This window comes from Homo sapiens, chromosome 7, assembly GCF_000001405.40.
Source record: "Homo sapiens chromosome 7, GRCh38.p14 Primary Assembly".
NCBI classification, from domain to species: domain Eukaryota; kingdom Metazoa; phylum Chordata; class Mammalia; order Primates; family Hominidae; genus Homo; species Homo sapiens.
Genome location: NC_000007.14, coordinates 24,722,973 through 24,746,321, shown reverse-complemented (window position 1 = coordinate 24,746,321; position 23,349 = coordinate 24,722,973). Strand labels below are relative to the sequence as shown.

The 23,349-nt window shown below is 44.1% G+C and overlaps 1 protein-coding gene across 5 annotated transcripts in view, besides 6 other annotated features; it reads left to right on the top strand.

The window, feature by feature from the left end:
* The window catches only part of GSDME (gasdermin E), a 97,185-nt gene that overhangs the window by 49,218 nt on the left and 24,618 nt on the right, over positions 1 to 23,349 (top strand). For all 5 annotated transcript variants that reach the window (XM_024446670.2, NM_001127454.2, NM_004403.3 and 2 more), the window contains one exon: positions 1,568 to 1,760. In XM_024446670.2, coding sequence (XP_024302438.1) covers positions 1,568 to 1,760 — 193 coding nt within the window. The remainder of the gene's footprint in view (positions 1 to 1,567; positions 1,761 to 23,349) is intronic.
* Positions 4,438 to 4,732: a silencer, noted in NCBI's record as "tiled region #13058; HepG2 Repressive non-DNase unmatched - State 10:DNaseD". NCBI's record gives its function as "represses a minimal TATA promoter and a strong SV40 promoter by Sharpr-MPRA in HepG2 cells {active_cell/tissue: HepG2}" and the evidence as "EXISTENCE:reporter gene assay evidence [ECO:0000049][PMID:27701403]".
* Positions 17,685 to 17,794: an enhancer, noted in NCBI's record as "active region_25753". NCBI's record gives its function as "activates an Ori minimal core promoter by ATAC-STARR-seq in GM12878 lymphoblastoid cells {active_cell/tissue: GM12878}" and the evidence as "EXISTENCE:reporter gene assay evidence [ECO:0000049][PMID:35858748]".
* Positions 18,665 to 18,884: an enhancer, noted in NCBI's record as "active region_25752". NCBI's record gives its function as "activates an Ori minimal core promoter by ATAC-STARR-seq in GM12878 lymphoblastoid cells {active_cell/tissue: GM12878}" and the evidence as "EXISTENCE:reporter gene assay evidence [ECO:0000049][PMID:35858748]".
* Positions 19,205 to 19,886: an enhancer, noted in NCBI's record as "OCT4-NANOG-H3K27ac-H3K4me1 hESC enhancer chr7:24766055-24766736 (GRCh37/hg19 assembly coordinates)". NCBI's record gives its function as "activates a minimal SCP1, AML or CMV promoter by ChIP-STARR-seq in primed H9 embryonic stem cells {active_cell/tissue: H9 hESC(primed)}" and the evidence as "EXISTENCE:reporter gene assay evidence [ECO:0000049][PMID:30033119]".
* Positions 19,887 to 20,570: an enhancer, noted in NCBI's record as "OCT4-NANOG-H3K27ac-H3K4me1 hESC enhancer chr7:24765371-24766054 (GRCh37/hg19 assembly coordinates)". NCBI's record gives its function as "activates a minimal SCP1, AML or CMV promoter by ChIP-STARR-seq in naive and primed H9 embryonic stem cells {active_cell/tissue: H9 hESC(naive and primed)}" and the evidence as "EXISTENCE:reporter gene assay evidence [ECO:0000049][PMID:30033119]".
* Positions 21,255 to 21,938: an enhancer, noted in NCBI's record as "H3K27ac-H3K4me1 hESC enhancer chr7:24764003-24764686 (GRCh37/hg19 assembly coordinates)". NCBI's record gives its function as "activates a minimal SCP1, AML or CMV promoter by ChIP-STARR-seq in naive H9 embryonic stem cells {active_cell/tissue: H9 hESC(naive)}" and the evidence as "EXISTENCE:reporter gene assay evidence [ECO:0000049][PMID:30033119]".

Here is a 23,349-nt window from a genome sequence, read left to right as displayed (position 1 = left end):
ATCCTAACCTCTTTATCTCTGCTCTGCCCTTCTTCCCAAGGCATTGCCCAAAATGTTTGTTTTCCATGAGATATTAACAAAAAAAGTCCATGAATAGGATAAATTTTTACACCATTCTTATTTTTGGGCTGGTGGTACAGGAGATGATTCTCTGTTTTATAAATTTCAAAGGTGATTGAATGGTGATTACTTCTGATTAACCCTGGTTGAGGAGTGGGTTTTCTTGATTGCAGTGGAAGAAGTGTAGGTGAAGTATGGGTGTTGGGGCAGTGAGTGGATGGAAAGAAGCCTTTCAGACTGCCGGTGGGTTTGAATCCCCTGTGAAGGGCAGCCGGGAGCCCAGGAGAGCCTTGGGTCAGGACAATGGAAAAGGCCAAGTGTGAGGTTCCTAGTGGACTCTTAATGTCTCCTTACCAAATGGTGATGATAGAGACTATTTTTAAAATCATTATTTTTATTTGTTATTATTTTTATATTTTCTTAGAGATAAGGTGTTGCTCTGTCACCCAGGCTGGCGTGCAGTGGCATGATCATTGCTCACTTGTAACCTTATACTCCTGGGTTCAGGTGATCCTCTCACCTCAGCCTCTAGGGTAGCTGGTGTTGCCCAGGTTGGTCTTGAACTTCTGACCTCAAGGGATCCTCCTGCCTCAGCCTCCTAAATTGCTGGGATTACAAATGTGAGCCACCACACAGAGACTATTTTTAGGGTGGTTTTTGTTTGGATTACAAAAGAGAATAGTAGAAACCTGGAGATGTGAGAAGGCTGACAGTTCAGATATGAGATCAGACATTTATCATTTTAAAAAGGGCATGTCCACTGACCTTATCAGGAAGTCAGAGATAAGGAATTATATGATGAGGAATTGAATGACTGGGTAGAGGTCAGAGAGAGAATCATAAATATGGGAAGGGAATAATTTGACTGGAGATGGTAATAAGGGCCAGGGGATTGTTTTCCAAGACTGGTGGGTGGGTAGACAAGATGCCCCCAGACAGGCCTAGGTGGCCAAGGAAGGCTGTCCTCTCGCGGTGCATCCAGAATAGGGGCTGCTGTTCTCTCTCTGTTTAGTTGTCTTCTTTGTCTAGTCCCTTTCAGTCTTCACCCTGGAAAAGTACACATTTAAAATGGTCTATTGATCCACCTGGATAGTGGTTAAACAGGCGCTAACTTTATTCATTAGTCCTTTCTGTGCACCTTTCTATACGTATTGGGATTGAAAACCAATGAAAGAGAAAAGCTTCTAGTGGAGCCCTGGTCACTGGTCCACTGTGTGCCCGTGGTCCACACACACACACACACACACACACACACACACACACACACACACACACACGTGCTGCACTGGTCCACTGTGTGCCCGCGGTCCACACACACACACACACACACACACACACGTGCTGCCCTGTTTTCTTGCCCACACACACAGCATGGCTGCCGGCTTTCCATCTGAGTGCCAGCCTTCTGCTTTCCGGGGCTCTGCACAGGCTTGGAAAGCTAAATGACCCAAGACATCTTGGTGGCCTTATCATCATCGGCTTCCTCTGCTCGTCTCCTCCATTCCAGTGGTCGTGGAGTCGGACTTTGTGAAATACGAGGGCAAGTTTGCAAACCACGTGAGTGGAACCCTGGAGACTGCACTGGGGAAGGTCAAGCTGAACCTGGGGGGCAGCAGCCGCGTAGAGAGCCAGTCTTCATTTGGAACCCTGAGGAAGCAGGAGGTGGATTTGCAGCAGCTCATCAGAGACTCTGCCGAGAGGTAAGGAGACTTGTTTGGCATTTTGGATTTTGACACATCTCACATTTAAAGGTCATTCAGTTGGACCTTTGTTAAAAGGGCGACAGATTTGATCTCTGCCGATCAATAAACATGTATTGAATGCGCTTGTGTTGAAATTTCATGAGGAGCACATTCTTTAGTCTGGAATTGCTTGACTGTTCTTAGCCTGAGTGGGGGGAGACTTGGGAAGCACTTTCAAAGGATGTTACTTCAGGCAAATATGTACTTCCTTCAATCACATGATTTATAAAATGCGAACGGTAAAAATGCTCTGTCCTGCATTTTTGAATATTAACTTTAGAAGCCAGGAAGTCATGACCCCCCTCTGGCTCTATAATTTTCTGATGAAAAAAAGAAGAAAGCAAGTGAGAGGCGCGTAAAAAAGTTCAAAAATAAGAGCTCTTTTCAGTCTTTGAAGTCTTGAAGAAAACCCCACATTTATTCATTGTTTGGCTTTCGGTAAATACATCTTACCACACTATAGCTCATCATTATTCTTACCTCATATTTATTCAACATTCAAAAAATAATTGTATTGAGTGCGTCCTATGTGCCATGTACTGTTCTACATTCTGGGGAGGCTGCAGAGAGCAAAATGCCCAAATGTCTGCCTTGCATTCTAGTGAGGAGAGATACCAAACGTACAACTAAAGTAAAATGTGCAGTAGGTTGATGGGAATCGGCAGCAGTGAGAGGGGCTAGGATGTGCTAGGAATGGGGGCTACGAACTTAGAAAGTGTGGCCAGAGAAGGTGTTATGGAGAAGCTGGCATTAGGGCAAAGCTCTGCAGGAGGGCAGGGAAGGCACAGGGGCATCTGGGCAGGACGCTGTGGGCAGTGGCCAGAGTGGCCTGTGCCCAGTGAGCAAGGGGAGGGCAGGAAAGGAGAGTCGGAGGGGCTGAAAGGGGTGGGGCGCCAAGTCCCACAGGACCTTGAAGGCCACTGGAAAGGCTCACACTTACTGAGAGCCAGTGGAGGGTTTTGGGCAGGGAAGGGGCGTAATCTGATGTATTTTTTAGAAGGATCATTCTGGCTGCTGAGTTAAGAGACTGGATGGGCAGCAGCAGGGAGTTCAGTTGAGAAGTTATTGCAGTAATTCAGCGGGGATGATATTTCAGTTTGTACAGTAACATGTGCATTTTCCTGTGTAATTTTGTTGCCCTTTAGTCTTTTAAAGCAAAAATTCAAATCCAAATAAATTAAGAGAAAATTCACTTGTATTTAAGTATGGCTGGCTTATTTCATCTTTTGCAACATTTTAAAGATTATATGGAATATTAAATAAGTGCTCATTCCACAAAATTATGTTTAAAAATTAATAAAAAATACGATAAAACTCACATAGCATTAGGTGGGTGGATTTTGTACAGACATTGAGGGTGCCTGGGCAGCTGCCGTCTTCAAGTCCCAAGCCCCTCTTCAGTAACTGCCCATGCTTACTGGAACTGAAGGACCATGGCTGTGCGTTTACTGCCTACGGGCACTTTCTAGGACTCCAAGACCACACAAAGCTGTGACTCCACCAGGGGTTCCCTTTTGGTCAGATGATTTGAAGTTCTCTCTGGTAGCACCAGGTAGAAGGGACAGCTGCCTCTGTCTCTGGCAGTCATGATCTTTATTTTCCTTTCTCTACAGCTTATCTTTGCTAGAGTCCCATTTTCCTTCTCAACTGCAATTGTTGGGACACACTAGAAATGTATTTGATATTTATCTGAAATGAAAATTTAACTGGGTGTCTTACATTTTCATTTGCTAAATCTGGTGGCACTGGGGAAGGGGAAAAGGGAGGCGGGGGGTGTCCAGAGCGTCTTCTCTGCTCCCTCAGTCTCACCCAACCCTCTCTAGCTTAGATGCGCTTTGCAGTCTCGTTATTTCTATTTCAAGAAGCACAGTTTGGCAATGTCCTATAATCACATTTCTCGATATAGGTTTTTAAACACCATGATTCAGGTGTAAAAGCTCTTGCTAAAAGGAAGCATATGAGGAGGCTCACTGAGAAGAGATGGGAGAAAACATTCCGGAGAGAAAGAAGCCAGAGCCAACAGTTCTGAGTGGAGGAAGAGGGAGTGGGGGAGGGAAAGGAAAGGAGCATCCGCAGAGCACCTACTGTGTGCCAGGCACTTTATATGTAGCCTCTCCTTAACTCTGCACAGCCATCTCCTTTTACACTTAATGGCACCAAGGCTCAGGAAGGAGAAATAACTTATTCCCAGACACAGAGCTCAATTTGGATGCTGGTGCTGGGATTCAACTCAGGATTTTCTGGCTCCAAAGCTCCTGTTCTTTCCTCTAAATCATGTAAAAGTCTTAAAATGATAGCACAGAATGTTAAGGCCGAGGCATGAACCCGCGTCCCTAGGGAGGATACTTGGTGGGTGAATCATGGAATAGAAACTATCCTGAGCAGGCACATGTGCATAGCGAGGCCTGCTCTCCTGGAGGTGCCTGGACACAGGGATGAGATCACTTGGACTCGGGAGTCCTATTACTTGTAGTGGTGATGGGGGAAGGGATGCCCTGGGGAGTGGTGCCACCAGAAGCATGATAAAGAATAAATACAAGGACTAGAACCCAAAGAGGAGTTTTATCACAGAATCACCTCACCCTTGTTAGGCGGCTAGGAGGACAGGGTGAACTATAGGGGAGGGGAGGACAGGGGCGGGAAGGGAAGACTTCTGCTCTTGGCATGGAGCTCAGTAAAGCTAACATTCTTGTTACGTCATGCTGGAGTAATAAATTCTTATCCACGTTGTCTGCCTGTCTCTGGACTCCCCATAACATCATTGGGATTGATAAGGCGTTGTTGATACATGCGTGGCCTTGGGAGTGGCAGTTCGTGATGCTTAAGGACTGTACATTCCCGAGGGCTTATTTTCAGTCACTTTTATTTCAGGTCATTTAGATAAGTTGTCATCTGCAGACAAGTTATTTTAGGCCTCAAAAATCAGAATATTAGCTTTATTGTCTATGAAATGTGTGCACATATCAAAAACAAACTTTGTCCTTGAAAAAACAAGCCTGTGCTGGGCAGGAAGGCATTCCACAGAAATTAACCTTCCGGATACCTGGAGCTGACCCCTTTGAATGCAGTCTCTGTGCAGATCTTAGCATTCTTGATGGAAACTATTCTAAGATATGTCACATACTTTTTTTTTTTTAAATGGAGAATAACAAATTTATTGAGTCTTTTTCATAGTGACTCGGATAAGCTCTTTCATTTTTGTGTTTAATAAGCTTTCATTATTATTCTGTAATACGCTTTTCATTTGTCTGCCTTGTCTTCCGTGGTCAGCTGCCATTTGTCACTACCATAAGTATAAAAGCCACAGCCCACCCCACCTCTGCCACTAGCTTGTTGCTTCTAATTTCCTAGGGTCTGGTAAGTTTATTCCTGGTCAATAACTTAGGTCGACTTGGTAAGCCGTTTCTGCCCTTGGGTTCAGTTTCCCCAGCTGTAGGTGAGATAGTTGGACTAGATGATCTCTGAAGGCTTTCTCCTGGCTGAATGTCTGGAAGTGAGTGGACTCTGGAGCGCGCACACCTGTCAGCTCCCTCCCCTGAGTTCTGGGCCGCGGTCCCGGCTGTTTTCCAGAGACCATGCTGCGTTGTGCTTTCCTGGCTATTTGGGGATTGAGGAGGGTGTTACCATAAAGGCATATCCCACTTTTATTCTTCATCATATTGTAAAGGGAATTTTGGTAAAGCAGATTACATTTTTCTATGCACATACAGTAATGAGAAGTTTGGTTCTTTATTAGGAATTCCAAATTAAATAAATTATATGAAACCAGTATATTAAAGCAATGTCATGACCATGATAAATCTTCATAATTAAAATGTTTCAGAATTACACTGAATATATATATACATATATTTACGTAAATATATATACATACATTTATGGGATATATGACATTTTTTAATGAGGAATTTTTAATGGGAAAATACATCTCATGAGATGTTTTGATACAGGCATACAATGTATAATAATCACATCATGTAAAATGAGGTATCCATCACCTCAGGCATTTATCCCTTGTGTTACAAGCAATCCAATTATACAGTTTTAGTTATTTTAAAAATGTACAATTATTATTGGCTTTAGGTGTCCTAAAGTTATGCTATCACATACTAGATTTTATTCATTCTTTAGGTATCCTAAAGTTATGTTATAAAATACTAGATCTTATTCATTCTTTCTATTTTTATTGGACCCATTAACTATCCTCGCATCCCCCTACCACTCTCCCACTACCCTTCCCAGCCTCTGGTAACCATCCCTCTACTTTCTATCTCCATGAGGTCAATTGTTTTAATTTTTAGTTCAAGAAATAAATAAGAACATGTGAAGTTTATCTTTCTGTGCCTAGTTTATTTTGTTTAACATAATGACCTCCAGTTCCATCCCTGTTGTTGCAAATGACAGGATCTTATCCTTTTTTTTTTTTTGAGATGGAGTCTTGCTCTGTCACCCAGGCTGGAGTGCAGTGGTATAATCTTGGCTCACTGCAACCTCCGCCTCCCAGGGTCAAGCAGTTCTCCAGCCTCAGCTTCCCGAGTAGCTGGGATTACAGGCACCCATCACCAAACCTGGCTAATTTTTGTATTTTTAGTAGAGATGGGGTTTCACCATATTGGCCAGGCTGGTCTTGAACTCCTGACCTCGTGATCCGCCTGCCTTAGCCTCCCAAAGTGCTAGGATTATGGGCGTGAGCCACTGCGCCCAGCCCAGGATCTTACTCTTTTTTTAATGACTAAATAGTACTCTATCGTGTATATTTACCACATTTTCTTTATTCATCTATTGAGGATTAGGTTGTTTCCAAATTTTGACTATTGTGACTAGTGCTGCAATAAATGTAGGAGTGCAGATAGCTCCTCAGTATACTGATTTCCTTTCTTTTGGGTACATATCCAGCAGTTGGAATGCTGGATAGTATGGTAGCTCTATTTTTAGTTTTTTGAGGAATCTCCAAACTGTTCTTCATAGTGTAGTAATTTGCATTACATTCCCACCAACAGTGTACAGGCATTCCCTTTTTTTCCACATTCTTATCAGCAGTTTTTATTGCCTGTCTTTTGGATAAAAGCCATTTTAACCAGGGTGAGGTGATAACTCATTGTAGTTTTGATTTGCATTTCCCTGATGATCAATGATGTTGAGCACATTTTCATATGCCTGTCTGACATTTGTATGTCGTCTTTTGAGAAATGTCTATTTAGATCTTTTGCCCATTTTTAACAGGATTATTAGATTTTTTTCCCTACAGTTGTTTGAGCCCCTTTTATATTCTGGTTATTAATCTCTTGTCACATGGGTAGTGTAAAAATATTTTATCCCATTCTGTGAGTTGTCTCTTCATTTTGTTGTTTCATTGCTGTGCAGAAGTCTTTAACTTGATATGATTCCATTTGTCCATTTTTGCTTTAGTGGTTCGTGTCTGTGGGATGTTACTCAAGAAACCTTTGCCCAGTTCAATGTCCTAGAGAGTTTCCCTCGTGTTTTCTTATAGTAGTTTCATAGTTTGAGGTCTTAGATTTAAGTGTTTAATCCATTTTGATTTGGTTTTTGTATATGGTGAGAGATAGGGTCTAGTTTCATTCTTCTGCATAGGGATATACAGTTTTCTCAGCACCATTTATTGAAGAGGCTATCCTTTCCCCAATGTATGCTCTTGGCACCTTTATTGAAAATGAGTTCAACATAAATGTATGGATTTGTTTCCGGATTCTCCATCCCATTCCATTGGTCTGTATTTTTGTTTATATGCCATTACCATACTGTTTTAATGACTATAGCTCTGCAGTATAATTTGAAAGTCAGGTAATGTGATTCATCCAGCCTTGTTCCTTTTGCTCAAGGTAGCTTTGGCTATTCTGCATCTTTTGTGGTTCCACATAAATTTTAGGGTAGTTTTTTTTCTATTGCTGTGAAGAACATCATTGGTATTTTGTAGGGATTGCATTGAATCTCTACAAAGTATAGATTACTTTGAGTAGTATGGACATTTTAACAATATTTATTCTTCTGATCTGTGAATATGGAACATCTTTCCATGTTTTTTGTGTCCTCTTCAATTTCTTTCATCAGTGTTTTATAGTTTTCATTGTAGAAATTTTTCACTTCTTTGGTTAGTTTGTAGATATTTAATTTTATTTGTAGCTATTGTAAATGGGATTATTTCCTTGATTTCTTTTTCAGATTGTTCTCTGTTGCCCTATAGACATGCTACTGATTTTTGTATGTTGATTTTATATCCTACAACTTTAGTGAATTTGTTTATTGGCTTTAATAGTTTTTTGGTGGAGTCTTTAAGTTTTTCCAAATATAAGATCATGTTTTCTGCAAACAAGGATCATTTGACTTCTTCCTTTCCAATTTGAATGCCTTTATTCTTTCTCTTGTCTGATTGCCCTAGCTAGGACTTCGAGTACTATGGTGAATAACAGTGGTGAAAGTGGGCATCCTTGTTGTGTTCCAGATCCTAGAGGAAAGGCTTTCAGTTTTTCTCCATTTCAGTATGATACTAGCTGGTTGGTCTATCATATATGGCTTTTATTGTGGAACTATGTTCCTTCTATGTGCAGTTTTTTATCTTGAAGGGATGTTGAATTTTATCAGATGCTTTTTCAGCATCAGTTGAAATAATCAAATGGTTTTTGTTCTTCATTTTGTTGATATAATGTGTCACACTGATTGATTTGCATATGTTGAACCATCCTTCCATCCCTGGGATACATCTCACTTGGTCATGATAAATTATCTTTTTAATGTATTGTGGAATTCATTTTGTTAGTATTTTGTTGAGGATTTTTGCATCACTGCTTGTAGTTTTCTTTTTTTTTTTGATGTGTCTTTGTCTGGTTTTGGTATCAGGGTAATACTGGCCTTGTAAAATGAGTTTGAAAGTATTCCCTCCTTCTCTGTTTTTTGGAATAGTTTGAGTAGGATTGGTATTCATTCTTTTTTAAATGTTTGGTAACATTCAACAGTGAAGCCATCAGGTTTTTGTTGGCTTTTCTTTTCTGGGAGACTTTATTTTGGCTTTGATCCCATTACTTGTTTTTTTTGTTATTTTGGCTTTGATCCCATTTCTTCACGGTTCAATCTTGGTAGGTTTTGTGTCTAGGAATTTATTCATTTCTTCTAGGTTTTCCAATTTATTGGTGTATAGTTACTCATAGTAGCCTCTAATGATCCTTTGAATTTCTGTAGTATTAATGTAATGTCTCTTTTCTCATTTCTGATTTTATTTATTTGGGTCTTCTCTTTTTTTCTTAGTCTGGCTAAAGGTTTGTCAACTTCATTTATCTTTTTAAAAAAACAAACTTTTGTTTCATTAATCTTTTGTATTGTTTTCCTCATTTTAATTTATATCTGTTCTAATCTTTATTATTTCTTTTCTTCCACTAGCTTTGGATTTGGTTTGATCTTGATTTTCTAGTTCTTTAAGATGCATTGTTAGATTGTTTATTTGAAATTTTTCTACTTTTTTGATTTATGTACAGCTATAAACTTCCTCTTAGTACTGCTTTTGATGTACCCCATAGGTTTTGCTGTTGTGTTTCTGTTATCATTTGTTTCAATAAAATTTCAATTTTTCTTAGTGTCGTCATTGACTCACTGGTCATTCAGGAGCATGTTGTTTAATTTCCATGTATTTGCATAGTTTCACAAATTCCCCTTGTTATTGCTATATAGTTTTTTTATTCCACTGTGGTCAGAGAAGGTACTTTATATTATTTCAATTTTTTGGATGTTTTGAAACTTGTTTTGTGGCCTAACATATGGTCTATCCTTGCGAATGATCCATGTGCTGAGGAAAAGAATGTGTATTCTTCAGTTGTTGGATGAAATGTTCTGTATATATCTATTGGGTCTGTTTGGTCTGTAGTGCAGATTAAGTCTGATGTTGATTTTCTGTCTGGATGATCTGTCAAATGCTGAAAGCTAGGTGTTGATGTCTCCAGGTATTACTGCACTGGGGGCCTATCTCTTTAGCTTTAATAATATTTTCTTTATATATCTGGGTGCTCCAGTGTTGGGTACATAAATATTTACAATTGTTATATCCTCTTGCTGAATTGACCCCTTTATCATTATATAGTAACCTTCTTTGTCTCTTCTTATAGTTTTTGTCTTGAAATCGATTTTGTCTGACATAAATATAGTTACTCCTGCTGTTTTTTTGCCTGTGATTTGCATGGGCTTTTTCCATCCCTTTATTTTCAGTCTATATGTGTCTTTATAGGTGAAGGGTGTTTCTTGTAGGCAACAGATCATTTGGTCTTTTTTTGTTGTTTTTAATCCATTTAGCCAGTGTATGTCTTTTAATTGGAGAGTTTAGTTACATTCAATTATTATTGATAAGTAAGGATTTACTCCTGTCATTTTATTATTTGTTTTGTGGTCTTCTCCTCCTTCTTTCTTTTCTTCCTGTCTTCCTTTTAGTGAAGGTGACTTTCTATGGTGGTATGATTTAATTTCTTGCTTTCTATTTTTTGTGTATCTGTTGTAAGTTTTTTATTTGAGGTTACCATGAGGCTTGCAAATACCATCCCATTATTGTAACCCATTATTTTAAGCTGATAACAACTTAACACTGCTAGCATAAACAAATAAAAAGAAAATGAATACAAACTCCACGCCTTAACTTTGTCCCCCGGCTTAACTTTTTCCTTTTTTCTATTTATATCTTATTGTACAGTCTATGTCTTGAAAAGTTTTTGTAGTTTTATTTATTTATTTATTTATTTATTTATTTATTTATTTATTTATTTTTGAGATAGAGTTTTGCTGTTGTCACCCAGGCTGGAGTGCAGTGGTGCAATCTCGGCTCATCGCAACCTCTACCTCCCAGGTTCCAGTGATTCTCCTGCCTCAGCCTCCTGAGTAGTTGGGATTACAGGCGCCCACCACCACGCCCGGCTACTTTTTTGTATTTTTAGTAGAGATGTGGTTTCGCCATGTTGGGCAGTCTGGTCTCGAATTCCTGTCTTCAGGTGATACACCCACCTCGGCCTCCCAAACTGCTGGGATTACAGGCGTGAGCCACTGTGCCCGGCCCTGTAGTTACTATTTTTAATTGGTTCATCTTTTTGTCTTTCTGCTTAAGATATGAGTAGTTTACATACCACAGTGACAGTGTTATAATAGTCTGTGTTTTTTCTGTGTACTTACAAGTACATTTTGGACTTTCAGATGATTTCTTATTGCTTATTAATGTCCTTTCTGATTAAAATACTCTCTTTAGCATTTCTTGTAGGACTGATCTGGTATTGATGAAGTCCTTCAGCTTTTCTTTGAGAAAGTCTATGTTTCTCCTTCATGTTTGAAGGATAGTTTTGCTGAATATACTATTCTAGTGTAAACGTTTTTTTCCTTCAGCACTTTAGATATGTCATGCCACTCTCTCCTGGCCTTTAAAGACTTGTGCTGAAAAGTCTGCTGCCAAACATATTGGAGCTCCATTGTATGCAGTTAGTTTCTTGCTGCTTTTAGGATCCTTTCTTTATCCTTGATTTTTGGGAATTTGCTTATTAAATGCCTTGAGATAGTCTTCTTCCAGTTAAATCTGCCTGGTGTTCTGTAACCTTCTGGTACTTAGGTATTGATATCTTGTTCTAGGTTTGGGAAGTTGTCTGCTGTTACCCTTTGAATAAACTTTCTACCCCTATTTTTTCTCTCCTTCCTCTTTAAGGCCAATACCTCTTAGATTTGCTCTTTTGAAACTATTTTCTATGTCTTTTAGGTGTATTTCATTCTTTTTCATTCTTTTTTTCTTTTGTCTCCTCTGATGTATTTTCAAAAATCCTATCTTCAAGCTCACAAATTATTTCTTCTGCTTAATCAATTCTGCTATTTAAGAGACTCTGATGTGTTCTCCAGTATGTCAATTGTGTTTTTCAACTCTGGAATTTTTGTTTGAATCTTTTAAATTATTGCAATCTCTGTTAAATGTATCTGAAGGAATGCCAAATTCCTTCTCTGTGTTATCTTGAATTTCTTTGAGTTTCCTCAAAACAGCTATTTTGAATTTTCTGTTTGAAAGGTCACATATTTCTGTCTCTCCAGGATTGGTCTCTGGTGCCTAATTTAGTTTGTTTGGTGAAGTCATGTTTTCCTGGATTGTCTTGATGCTTGTGGATGTTTGTCAGTATCTGGGCTTTGAAGATTTAAGTATTTATTGCAGCCTTTGCAATCTGGGCTTGTTTATACCCATCCTTCTTAGGAAGACTTTCCAGGTATTCAAAGGTACTTGGGTGTTGTCATCCAAGTTTTTTGTCACTGCAGCTGTATCTGCATTAGAGGACACCCAAAGCCCAGTAACTGTGTGGTTCTTATAGACTTGTAGAGGTACCACCTTGGTGGTCTTGTATAAGATCTGGAAGAATTCTCTGGATCACAGGCAGAGACTCTTGTTCTCTTCCCTTACTTTCTCCAAAACAGAGTCTCTCTCTATGCTAAGCTGTCTGGACCTGGGGGAGAGGTGACACAAGCAACTGTGTGGCCACCACCACTGGGACTGCACTGGTCAGAACTGAAGCCACCACAGCTCTGGATCTTGCCTAAGGCCTGTTGTAACCACTACCTGGCTACTGCCTATGTTTGCTCAAGGCCCTAGGGCTGTATAATCAGCAGGTGGTAAAGCCAGCCAGGCTTGTGTCCTTCCCCTCAGACATGAGGTGATTTCCCTGGGGCCCCAGGTGGGTCCAGAGATGCTGTCCAGGAGTCAGGGCCTCGAGTTGGAAACCTTAGAAATCTATGTGGTGCTCTACTCTACTGTGGCTCAACTGGCACTCAAATCACAGGACAAAGTCCCTTCACTCTTCCCTCTCCTTTCCCCAGGCAGAGGACTCTCACCCATGTCCACCAGCACTACAGGCCCACAAGGAGCACTGCCAGGCCACCACCCATATTCACTTAAGGCCAGGGGCTCTTTAGTCAGCTTGTGGTGAATGCTGGCAGGTTTGAGACGCACTCTTCAGGGCAGTGGGGTCCCCTGTGGGCCTGGGTAGGTCCAGAAATGCCATCCAAGAGCCACAACCTGGAATCAGAGACTTGAAGGGCTTGCTTGGTGCTCTACCCCACTGTGCTTAGCTGGTACCCAAGCTGCAAGACAAAGTCCTCTTTTCTCTCTGCTTTTCTCAAGCAGAAGGAATCTCTCCTCATAGCCAGCACAGCTGTGAAAGTGCCGAGTCACACCTGACCACAGCTGGGTCAGCATGTCTCAGAGTCTCACCCAAGGCTCATGGCATGTATTGCCTGGTTACTGTTGCAGATCATGCAGGGCCCAGGGCTCTTTAGTCAGAAGAACAAGAATCCTGTCACAACTGCATCCTTCCCTTAAGGCAGGAGGTTACATTCTGGCTCAGGGTGTTTCTAGAAATGTCTGGCAGCTAGGGTCTGCAGTGGGGGCCTCACAACTCTGCCTGGTGCCCTATCCTACTGTGGCTGAGCTGGTATTCTGGTTACAGTACAAAGTCCTTTTTCCTCTTCCCTCTCCTCTCCTCAAGCACAAGGAAGGGATCTCTTTTGGAGCTGCATGTTGTGCTGCTTGGAGTTGGGGGAGGGTTAGATCCAGTACTCCCTTAGCCACCCTGGCTGGTGTCTCAGTAGGTTGTGTACCCACCCCCCAAATCCACTGGCTCTGAGCCCAGCACAGCTCTAGGACTTGCCTAGGAGCTGCAGTCCTTGTGGCCTAGACTGCCTTTCTAGTTTATTTAGAACACCAAAGCACTTTAGCCCATGGTGGCGAGGCTTGCCAAAACTCAGGTTCTGACCACTGGGATGGGTGATTCTCCTCTGGCTAGGGCTGGTCTACATGCTCCCTCAGTGGGCGCTGGCTGAGTTCTGCCCGGTGTTGGCAGCACTGAGTTCCATGCAAAGTCCCACAGTTGCTGTGCTCTCCCTCCTACAGCACACGGCTTCTCTCTCTCTGCCACATGGCTGCTGCCCAGAGATAGGGGAGGGGTGGTGTTGGCAATTCAAGACTGCCTTTCCTACCCTCTTCAGTGCCTCTTTCAGCAAAATGAAGTCAAAACCAGGTACTGTGATTGCTCACCTGATTTTTGGTTCTGATGAAGGTGCTTTTTTATATAGATAGTTGTTGACTTTGGTGTTCCTGTGGGGAGAACAATCACGGGAGGCTTCCATTCACCCATCTTGCTCTGCTCCTGGTCCTTTAACATTTAGGAGTTTTTCAAGGAGAAAGATTTGAGGAGCCATGTCTTTCTTGGAAAAAACAAAGTTTGAACTGGGCTTCCTTCCTACCTGATCAATTTCCCAATGGCTACCAGAGGGTTTGAAAATCATCCCATTTGTCTTTGTGCTTTACTCAGCACTGGAATCATTATTTTTAGTAAACAGTTTGTGCCTAACAATGAAGACTTCTGTCCATGTGTACTTGGAGAACATGAGTTCCCTGATTCTGGTCCTGTCGCTGATTCTCTTTTTGCTGTGTTTCTCCTTCCAGGGCAGGTGTAACTGGTCACAATAAACCGGGGCATCCCAAGGTCTGGGATGGGAGGGGCTGGCAGTACCTCTTTATGCTGGTCTCCTGGTATTGGCAGGTGGAGGTATTTTTAGGCCGAATTCAGGGTGGTAAACTTCAGGCTCATTTTAAAAATCAAAACAATTTGTGGTGGAAACAGAGGGAGGGTTTAAGGAATAACATAATAAATGCTACTATGCCACCTCCTAACCAGCTTACCCAAAGATCTTTTTCTTTAAACCAAGACACATGGGACACCTTTTCCTACCTTCACGACCCAGAATTTCTTTGATTAGCAAAATGGGATCGGTGTTACTGTGAGAACTCAATGAGAGAACATAAACAGGGCAGGTATAGTAGTGCTTGGCATGTGGCAAGTTCTCATTAGTTGTAACTGTTAGTGTTACCACTTGCAATAAGTATAGAGCCTGCCTAGCAAATCTGGCAAGCGCCAGAGCTCCCGGGGAGGGAAGGTGTGATGCAGCTTGCTGAGAGCCAGACAGGGAGCCACAGAGCTGCAGGAAGGAGGCGAAGTCCTTGGCGTTTCCACGTGCAGCATGATGTTTTGTTTGAGCTCTTGTTTTCCTCTCCCGTGGAGGAGGTAGGCACCTGCGTGGTCACCATTCTGAACTCCACCGTGGAGCGACTGACCACCTCCAGTGAAAGTCGGCGGGGCTCTGGTTCTTGCATGCAACCCGTGTTCCCCAAAATAAGTGCTGATCCAGACGTGTAGCTGGGCTACGGAGAAGTCTGCATAGCACACAGGCTGTTCTTTGTACATGTTTTGTTTGTGGCAGGAGATGTTGATTTGATTCTTAAGTAAAGGTGTATGGAGCCCTTGAGCAATGTCAGTAAGACCTTCATGGGCCTTGTCCTGCTCACCATATTCTCTATGGGAAGCAAAGCTGTGAAGCTCAAGGCCCCACGAAATCCACTCTTTTTAAAAGATGTCTTTCCTGAGACCCCCAGGCCACACTAAATTCTGTGCTATCTGAAATTCTGCCAATTTATTAATTTTTTTCTAAATTATTCTGTCTCCTGGTCTTGGTTTTAGTGAGCCCCTGAAAGCTTGTCTGACTTCTGTTGCTTCCTTTCACAGTGTAAAGGTGGCTTCCTGTAGAGAAGGGTGTGCTGGGGACCCTCCAATACTTGTTCTTGGGAGTGGTTTTAGTCTTTTTACAGAAATCACCTTGTCTGATGAGTTTCATTTTTTATTTTTTTATTTTTTTTGAGACGGAGTCTCACTCTGCTGTTGCCCAGGCTGGAGTGCAGTGGTGCGATCTCAGCTCACTGCAACCTCCGCTTCCTGGGTTCAAGCAATTCTCCCGCCTCAGCCTCCCAAGTAGCTGGGACTACAGGTGCGTGCCACCACGCCCAGCTAATTTTTGCATTTTTAGTAGAGACGGGGTTTCACCATATTGGCCAGGCTGGTCTTGAACTCCTGACCTTGTGATCTGCCCATCTCAGCCTCCCAAAGTGCTGGGATTACAGGTGTGAGCCACTGTGCCCAGCTGAGCTTTATTTTTAAAGGCAACTTCAGATCTTTTTGGAACTAGGTAGGATTTAAGTCCTAAGAAGAATCATTCAAGTACTATTTTCTTCTAAGACTGATAGGCATTATTGTATTTCTTCAAATCCAAGATGTCATCCATTGAAAGAGGCACCATTATTCTATGTACCATTGAGAAAGAACACTGCCAATTAAACTATGCCACCTATCAATTTTAAAACATCCTGATTTCTGAGATGTTAAAATGTAAAGAAAAAAATATGTGTCTCAGAACTGATGAGCTGCAGTGTCTACAGTCAGGATGGCTGGGATGAGTCAGGAGTTAGAATTCAGGTGAGCAGATGTTTGTTCCACTTGGGCTGTTCATATAGTGTTTGACACAGAGACTCAACTCATCACTGCACTTCTCATCTCTCTGAACCCTCCAGTGAGCTGGTGGGTGAGGCATGAGTCCAGTTGGTTTAGCCAGGAATCTGAATATCAGACATAGCTCCTTCTTCACCTTCTCTCCCACACCTTGTCTCTTACCAGTTGATTCTGCCTCTTAAATATCAACCTTATCTGTTCCCATTCCCCCAGTCTCATGACAGTTTCTCTGGGAAATGGTGCAGGCCTCCACCAACCATCTCTTACCTGTTCTCGTCTCTCCCCTTCCAGTTGATTCTCCACAGGGTAGCCAGTCGGATCCCCTTACTGCCCAGCCATGCCTTCTGTGCTCTCCCCTGTCCTAGGAGGATGCCCACAGGCTCCTCTGTGCAACAGAGCCATGCTTTCAATCTCTAGCCTAATCTCTCACCAGTTGCCCTCACATCCTCCAGGTCAGTCGCTGAGCTAATTTCAGTTCCTGGGATTAATACTCCAGGCTCCTTCTACCTCCAGTCCTTGTCTGATGTTCACTCCTCCTGTCTGCACAGAGGCATGAAGGACACACACAGACTCACTTCTCCTGTGTCACCCAGCCAATTCCTCAGTATTCCTTAGGTTAGACCCCACTTCCTTCAGGAGCCACATCACCCCTGGTGGCATACTAACCACGCCGTAGGGTCAAGTGTGTCGGAAGTTGCCTGCGTCTGTGTCCGTTTCCCTCCTGGAACGCCCTGCCTCCTTTGTTGTGGGGTCTGGCGCAGTGCCTTTGGCACACTGAGCCCAGTTTGCTTGAAAGGATAATTGGTTTATCTTTATTCTACAACTGAGGAGCCTGAATGTGGAAATTAATTAGTTTGCCTAGATTCAGGATTTAAAACCAAGTTCACTAAACACATGATTTTTCCGATCCAACTTCTATGCACAGAGCTTGGAAACAGACACATGTTCCAAGGGCTTTGGCGTGAAGTCACTTCTGGGCATCAGCTGCGTTTGGTTTATCATCTTCCAGGCTTGCTGCATTTCATCCACTGGTTGCAGTTAATTAATTACTCGTCTAAAGGGCTGAACATCTACAGGTTCTCAGTCATTTTTTCCTTTCTCTTTCCAGGGGTCGTCGTATGTGAGTAAGATAAGGTATTAGAGACTATAATGTGGACAGAGGCGGAGCAGCCACAGTCTGCGGGTGACTTGGTCACTTTGGCAACAATGTGCAGTGAGCATTCTGCCCCAATTTTGATTTTCCCAGCATTTTACAATCCTGAAGTCATCTACATTACAGCCAAGTGACAGAGAGAGAAAGAGCAGGGCTTATCTCACTGTGTTGGAAGTGGAGGCCCAGGGCACAGGAGTTGAGGTTTCTAGAGATTTCCTGCCCCCGGCTGTGGGCTGAGCATCTCTGATGTGTGGGAAGTTTCTGTTATGAAACGTGGTTGAAATGGGGACTGCTAGTACCTGCGGGGGAGACAGTGGGCGGCTGCTTTCGTTTCCAAGAGGATCCACTTCCTGACTCTGGGAAGCTCTCATGGGATGGAGCAGAAAGACTGCCAGTTCTTTAACAATCAAGCATGCATTAAGCGCCTTCTGTATGCAGGGCCCAGGAAGGTTCAGGAGGGAGAGGCAGATGGGCGCAGAGCTTCGAGGGTGGATGGTGCTGAGCTGCATTCTCACCCAGCCCCTTGGCTTCTGAGTTCTTCGTGCTTCTTGTTGCTTTCTGAAATAAGGATGATGGTCACTTCATATACCAGTTAGGGTGTCTGGTTGCAAAGAACATTTGTTATTATCTCACATAAGAAAACATCTCGAAGAGGGTGCGTCCCGGTTGACTGAATGGTTAACGGCAGAAGGTCAGTTCGGTGGCTCTGTGGGCCCCTGTGGCAGCCGCCATCTGTCCTGGCAGCTCAAGTTCTCTTGGTCCCTAAATGGCAGCCACATTGCAGACAAAAGGTCCAGAGGCAGAAAAGTGGCCTCTTCTTTGTGTCCCTTTTTAAGAGGGAGAAAAACTTGAGAACCCCTAACAGATTTTCCTCAGGTCTCATTGGCCAGAATTGCCCCCGATTCCTGATAAGAAAAACGGAGTGACCAAGAATGGCCGAGAGACAAATCAAGACTCATTGGCAGGGCTGGGTGCACCCTGTCTCTTCCTCCCGTTACAGCCCCCCTAGCTCCCGAACAGTGCTGGGGACGGCAGCTAGTGGCACCCCCGACTCGTAGTGTGGGAGGGTTTTGCAGCCTTCCCGGTACAGGATGCTGGGGACAGTTCCTGCAGAAGCAGCACAGATGTGGTTTGAGCGCTGCTCTCCTGCCTTCGTTGTCAAAAAGCTTACAGTCTTTGAAAAGGGTGAATGGAGCCTCCCTTGGAGGGGAAATCGGCAGATGAAGGAGGCAATGGTGTGTGTGTTCCAGGATTTTAGGGGGGCAGTTACTGAAATAAAACTCTGCCATCTCTGTAGACTGGAGGAGGTTGGTTATCAAGAGAGAAGCAGACTTTCCCACTTAATGAAATGTCACAAAGGCAAAGCCAAGGAGTTTACAGGCAATGTCTGTGGACCTAATTTTCCTACTCTACAGCTGGTGTGTGAACACACGTGTGATCCTTTGTAAACTGTAGTTTTAGCCAATAAATCAAAACCCTTGGGAGAAGTTCTGGATTTACTAAAGCCTTTATCATCAATACATATCTCTGTTTCTGTGGGTTAGTAATTCTTGCTTAATATTCCTTGAGCAGCAGGCTGGCCACCACCTTTTGGCTCTCTGTCATGTCCCCATCTCTGTTTCTGGGGAGATGTTGAAACCAGCTCTGGCAGTACTGCACCATTTCCTCAGTCTGCATTTGTACCTTTCACTTTTTGTTGTTCTTTAGAAGAGTGTAGTGGAAAAGCACACTGGTCTCAGAGTCAGAAGATGCAGTTCCTGATTTTGGCACTGCCACTAACAGGCCATGTGGTTCAGGTGGGCCTGTCACCTCTCTGGGGCACATTCTTCACTAATGAGCAGAGACACTGGGTTAGATCTAGGTGATCAGGGCCATCCCCCTCCCATGTCCAAGCAGACACTGCCACTTAATCACAGCTTTCTTCCTCCTTACTGTCTTCCAGCCCACACTCAGCCTTAGAATCCTTTTCCTACAGCCAGGCAGTAATAGCTGATGGATTAATCAAGGTGAAAATAAAGATGAACCTGAGTTTCTGCCCAGAGCTAGATAATCCCCTTGGGTCCCTTCTAGTTTTATAATTTCTCCACAGCAGACTCAACAAAAGCTCCTGCTCTGTCATGATGTCCCCTGGGGTTTGGAGAGCCTTACCAGGCTCCCCAGGGTTTCCATTGGAAACTCTTCCTCGAGGCCATTGGTTTTTTTTTTTTTTTTTTGAGACGGAGTCTCGCTCTGTCCCCCGGGCTGGAGTGCAGTGGGCGATCTCGGCTCACTGCAAGTTCCACCTCCCGGGTTAACGCCATTCTTCTGCCTCAGCCTCCCGAGTAGCCAGGACTATGCCGGGCTGATTTTTTGTATTTTTAGTAGAGACGGGGTTTCACCATATTAACCAGGATGGTCTCGATCTCCTGACCTCGTGATCCGCCCGCCTCGGCCTCCCAAAGTGCTGGGATAACAGGCGTGAGCCACCGCGCCCGGCCTACCATTGTTACTATCAAGGGTTTTTGTGTAAGAGGACCCTGCTAGTGGTGGCTGCCTTGGCCTCTTCCCTGAGAAACTTGCATCTGGCCTGGTGCCTGGAGCATAGCAGAACTCAGGTATTTGTGGAGATGAATGAAGGAGAGTTGAAGTGTGGGGTCTGCATGACAAAGCTCGCCCTCCTGTGTCTCTGCAGGAGGCATCCCCGGGACCTCCTTTATGCTTTGGTAAAGAAACCTGCTTCCCTCCTTTTGGATATTGTCAGACTTTTAAAAGTTGTCTCTGGGTTTCTCCTCTGTGAGTTTGCATTTTGGCTCTTGAAAGTCTTAGAAGCAGAGAAAATGGAAATTAAAGCTTCAGGCTGGGAGAGGAGGCGGCTTCATTAGGGCTGGGCCTGGGGAGCTGATGGATGCTGGAAGAGCTGGAGCCTCCCTTCCTGCTGGGCTGCTCTGGTCCCCAGCAACCACGCTGGGCTCTGAGCCACGCTTCCCTCCCTCCATCTCTGCCTGCCGCCTCCCAGCAGCTCCTGCCTGGTCTCCTTTTCCAGCCATCTCTCGTCCTGTATCATGTAGCTGCTGTCTTGAATGTATCCGCGTCTTGTATCCAACTCCTGTCCTGTGTCCATGGAGCCATGCTCTTAATTGCTTTGAGGGTCCACTTCCTTAAGGGAGGGGACCACCCCTCATATTGTCTTATGCCCAATTTCTGCCTCCAAAGAAAGAAAAAGTAAAAACTAAAAGGCAGAAATGAAATCCACAAGCAGACAGCCCGGCGTCACACCCTGGGCCTGGTCGTTAAAGATTGACCCCTGACCTAATCAGTTATGTTATCTATACATTACAGACACTGTATAGAAAAGCACTGTGAAAATCCCCATCCTATTTTGTTCCAATCTGATTAGCAGAGCATGCAGCCCCCAGTCACGTACCCACTGCTTGCTCAATCGATCACGACCCTCTCATGCGCACCCCCTTAGAGTTGTGAGCCCTTAAACGGGACAGGAATTGCTCACTCAAGAGCTTGGCTCTTGAGACAGGAGTCTTGCCGACGCTCCCGGCCGAATAAACCCCTTCCTTGTTTAACTTGGTATCTGAGGAGTTTTGTCTGCGGCTCGTCCTCCTACACCTGGCTGAGGGCTCCCTTATAAAGCATCCTGAAAATTCTGGCCATTTCTTTGACCACCCTGGAAAGGGGTCTTGACTTGCCTTCCCTGCCAATAGTGGAAGGAAAAAAACATTTACAGAGCCCCTGCCATCTGCTGGGTAGAGTGTGGGTCATTTAATGCAAGATCTCACTGAACGTAACCCTCATAGCAAATTCTCAGTTTACAGATGTGCAAACTAAGCTTCAGGACTGGAGCAGTAGCTCAGCTAGGAGGAGATTGAGTTAGTCTGTTTGCATTATTATAAGGAAATACCTGAGACTGGGTAATTTATACAGAAGAGAGGTTTAATTGGCTCATGGCTCTGCAGGCTGTACAGGAAGCATGGTGCCAGCATCTGCTCTTGGTGAGGCCTCCAGAAGCTTCCAGTCATGGAAAAAGGTGAAAGAGGAGCAAACATGTCACATGGCAAGAACAGGAGCAAGAAAGAGGAACAAGAGAGAGTGAGGGGGAAGGTACCACACTCTTAACCAGTGTGAACTCAGAGTGTAAACTCACTCATTACTGCAAGGCGGGCACCAAGCCTTTCATGAGGGATCCACCCCCGTGACCCAGACACCTCCCACCAGGGCCCACCTCTAGCACTGGGGATCACATTTCAACATGAAACTTAGAAGGGACAAACATTAAACCACATTGGAGCAGGGAACCGATTCCGGGATGACTCCAGGTCTTTGTGTTATATCGACCTGCCAGGTACGCGCAGAAGGGCAACCTCACAGTAGAACTGGGTGGGCGGAGTTGAGCCAAGCCCCTGAGTGAGGAGAGGGAGTTCTTCTCGACTGAGTATGCACCCCCTTCCCCTGCCTCCAGACTTGCTCCTTTGGGGCTGGCCCTTTCTGTTGAGGATATACGCCTCTGCCTCAGTGGCCTCCTGTTCTTGCTTTCACGTTGCCGCCCCCGCCAGGAAGAACAAGGAGCCTGCCCTTAGATGTGTGAAGCGGATGAAGAACCTCTGCTTGTTCATTTTCTCCTGGAAGAGCTTCTGCTCCATTTTCCCTGTCTTTGGGCATTGGCTCCTGGCTGGACTTGGGGAGAGGGTCTCATTCCAGTCCTGCCCGGGTTTATGTGATAAACCATTCATTTTATCCCCCAGCTGGGTGGATAGCACAGGGCTAGGCACCAATAAAAAGAGCAAGTACTTTGTCCTCCAGGAGCTTACAGTCTGTCCAGAAGGCCTTTTTTTAAAATACTTTTTTTTTTTTTTGGAACTGGGCAATCTATTCACATGGTTTAAATGTCAAAAGGTCAAAAGAGAAAAGGTGAAAAGCCCCTCCCCGCCATCTGGTTCCCCACCCAAGAGGCGACCACTACTAATAGTTTTCTGTGTCTCTAAAGCCATTCTGTCTGTGTTGCTCAGTGGCTCTCACAGGGCCCGAGAGGAAAGAAATCAGGACAAGTTGGGGAAGAACTGTCAAATGGCACAGGGCGGCAGCCACGAGGAGAGTGAGATGGGCTTGGGGAGAACAGGCAGGCATGGATATTCTGATAAGGATTCCCAGAGGACTTGGGTATAACTTGCTTTTCCAGCCTCCATCTACTGGTCTGGTTACATAGGCAAGATATTTACATATAGAAATGAACATAGCAATACAAGAGTTAATAGAGATGAAGATTCAATTCCTAGTACAGCCCAAGGGTGCCCTCACCCAGAAGAGGGAGACAGCAGCTATGGGTGCTATGGCCATGTGGGCCATTGTAAAAGACCTGGGCTTCACAGCTGTGTGACTTTGGTTACTACCATCAACCTCTCTAGGCTCTTTTTTTTTAAACTCTTCTGAAACCCTCAACTGAGAGTTTTAAATGTTTTGTTTCATGAACTCTATTAGCAGTTGAAGAAACCCATGGGCCTCTTTAAATGCTTATAATAAAATATATAAGGTTATACAGTAAACAAATTGCATTGAAATTTGGCTGGTTTCTGCACTAGGCGGGCACAGGGGAGCCCTGTTGCATGGTGATTTCTGTTCTGAGGAGGGCCAGAGCCAGGGTCTGGTGACCTTGAACTGTTCTGGGTCTGCACCTGAGAACACCGTCCCCAGGGGACACCAGCTCTCCCCCTGGGGCTGCTTGGGGCTTGGTGGAATTGACTGAGGGAGGAGATGGGGAAGAATTCCCTCCCGAGATTGCTTTTCAGAGAGTCAAACGAAAAATCCATTTTCCCTGATGTGTAGCTTCCCCGCTGTCCCTGTGGGGCCTCTCCTAACTGAAGATGATTAAATATTTCCAGCATTTGGTTTCCAAAAGGTGGCAGCACTGTCCTGGGAAACAGAATCCCAGTGACTTGGGTGGAAGTGTTTGCTGCTAGGTGGATGATGCCTGCAGTTTCCGGCAGCCCTGCCTTGGTTGCCCAGGGAAGGATTCCCAGTGGCCTGCATGAGCTGTGGCTGTGTGACACGTTTCTGGTCA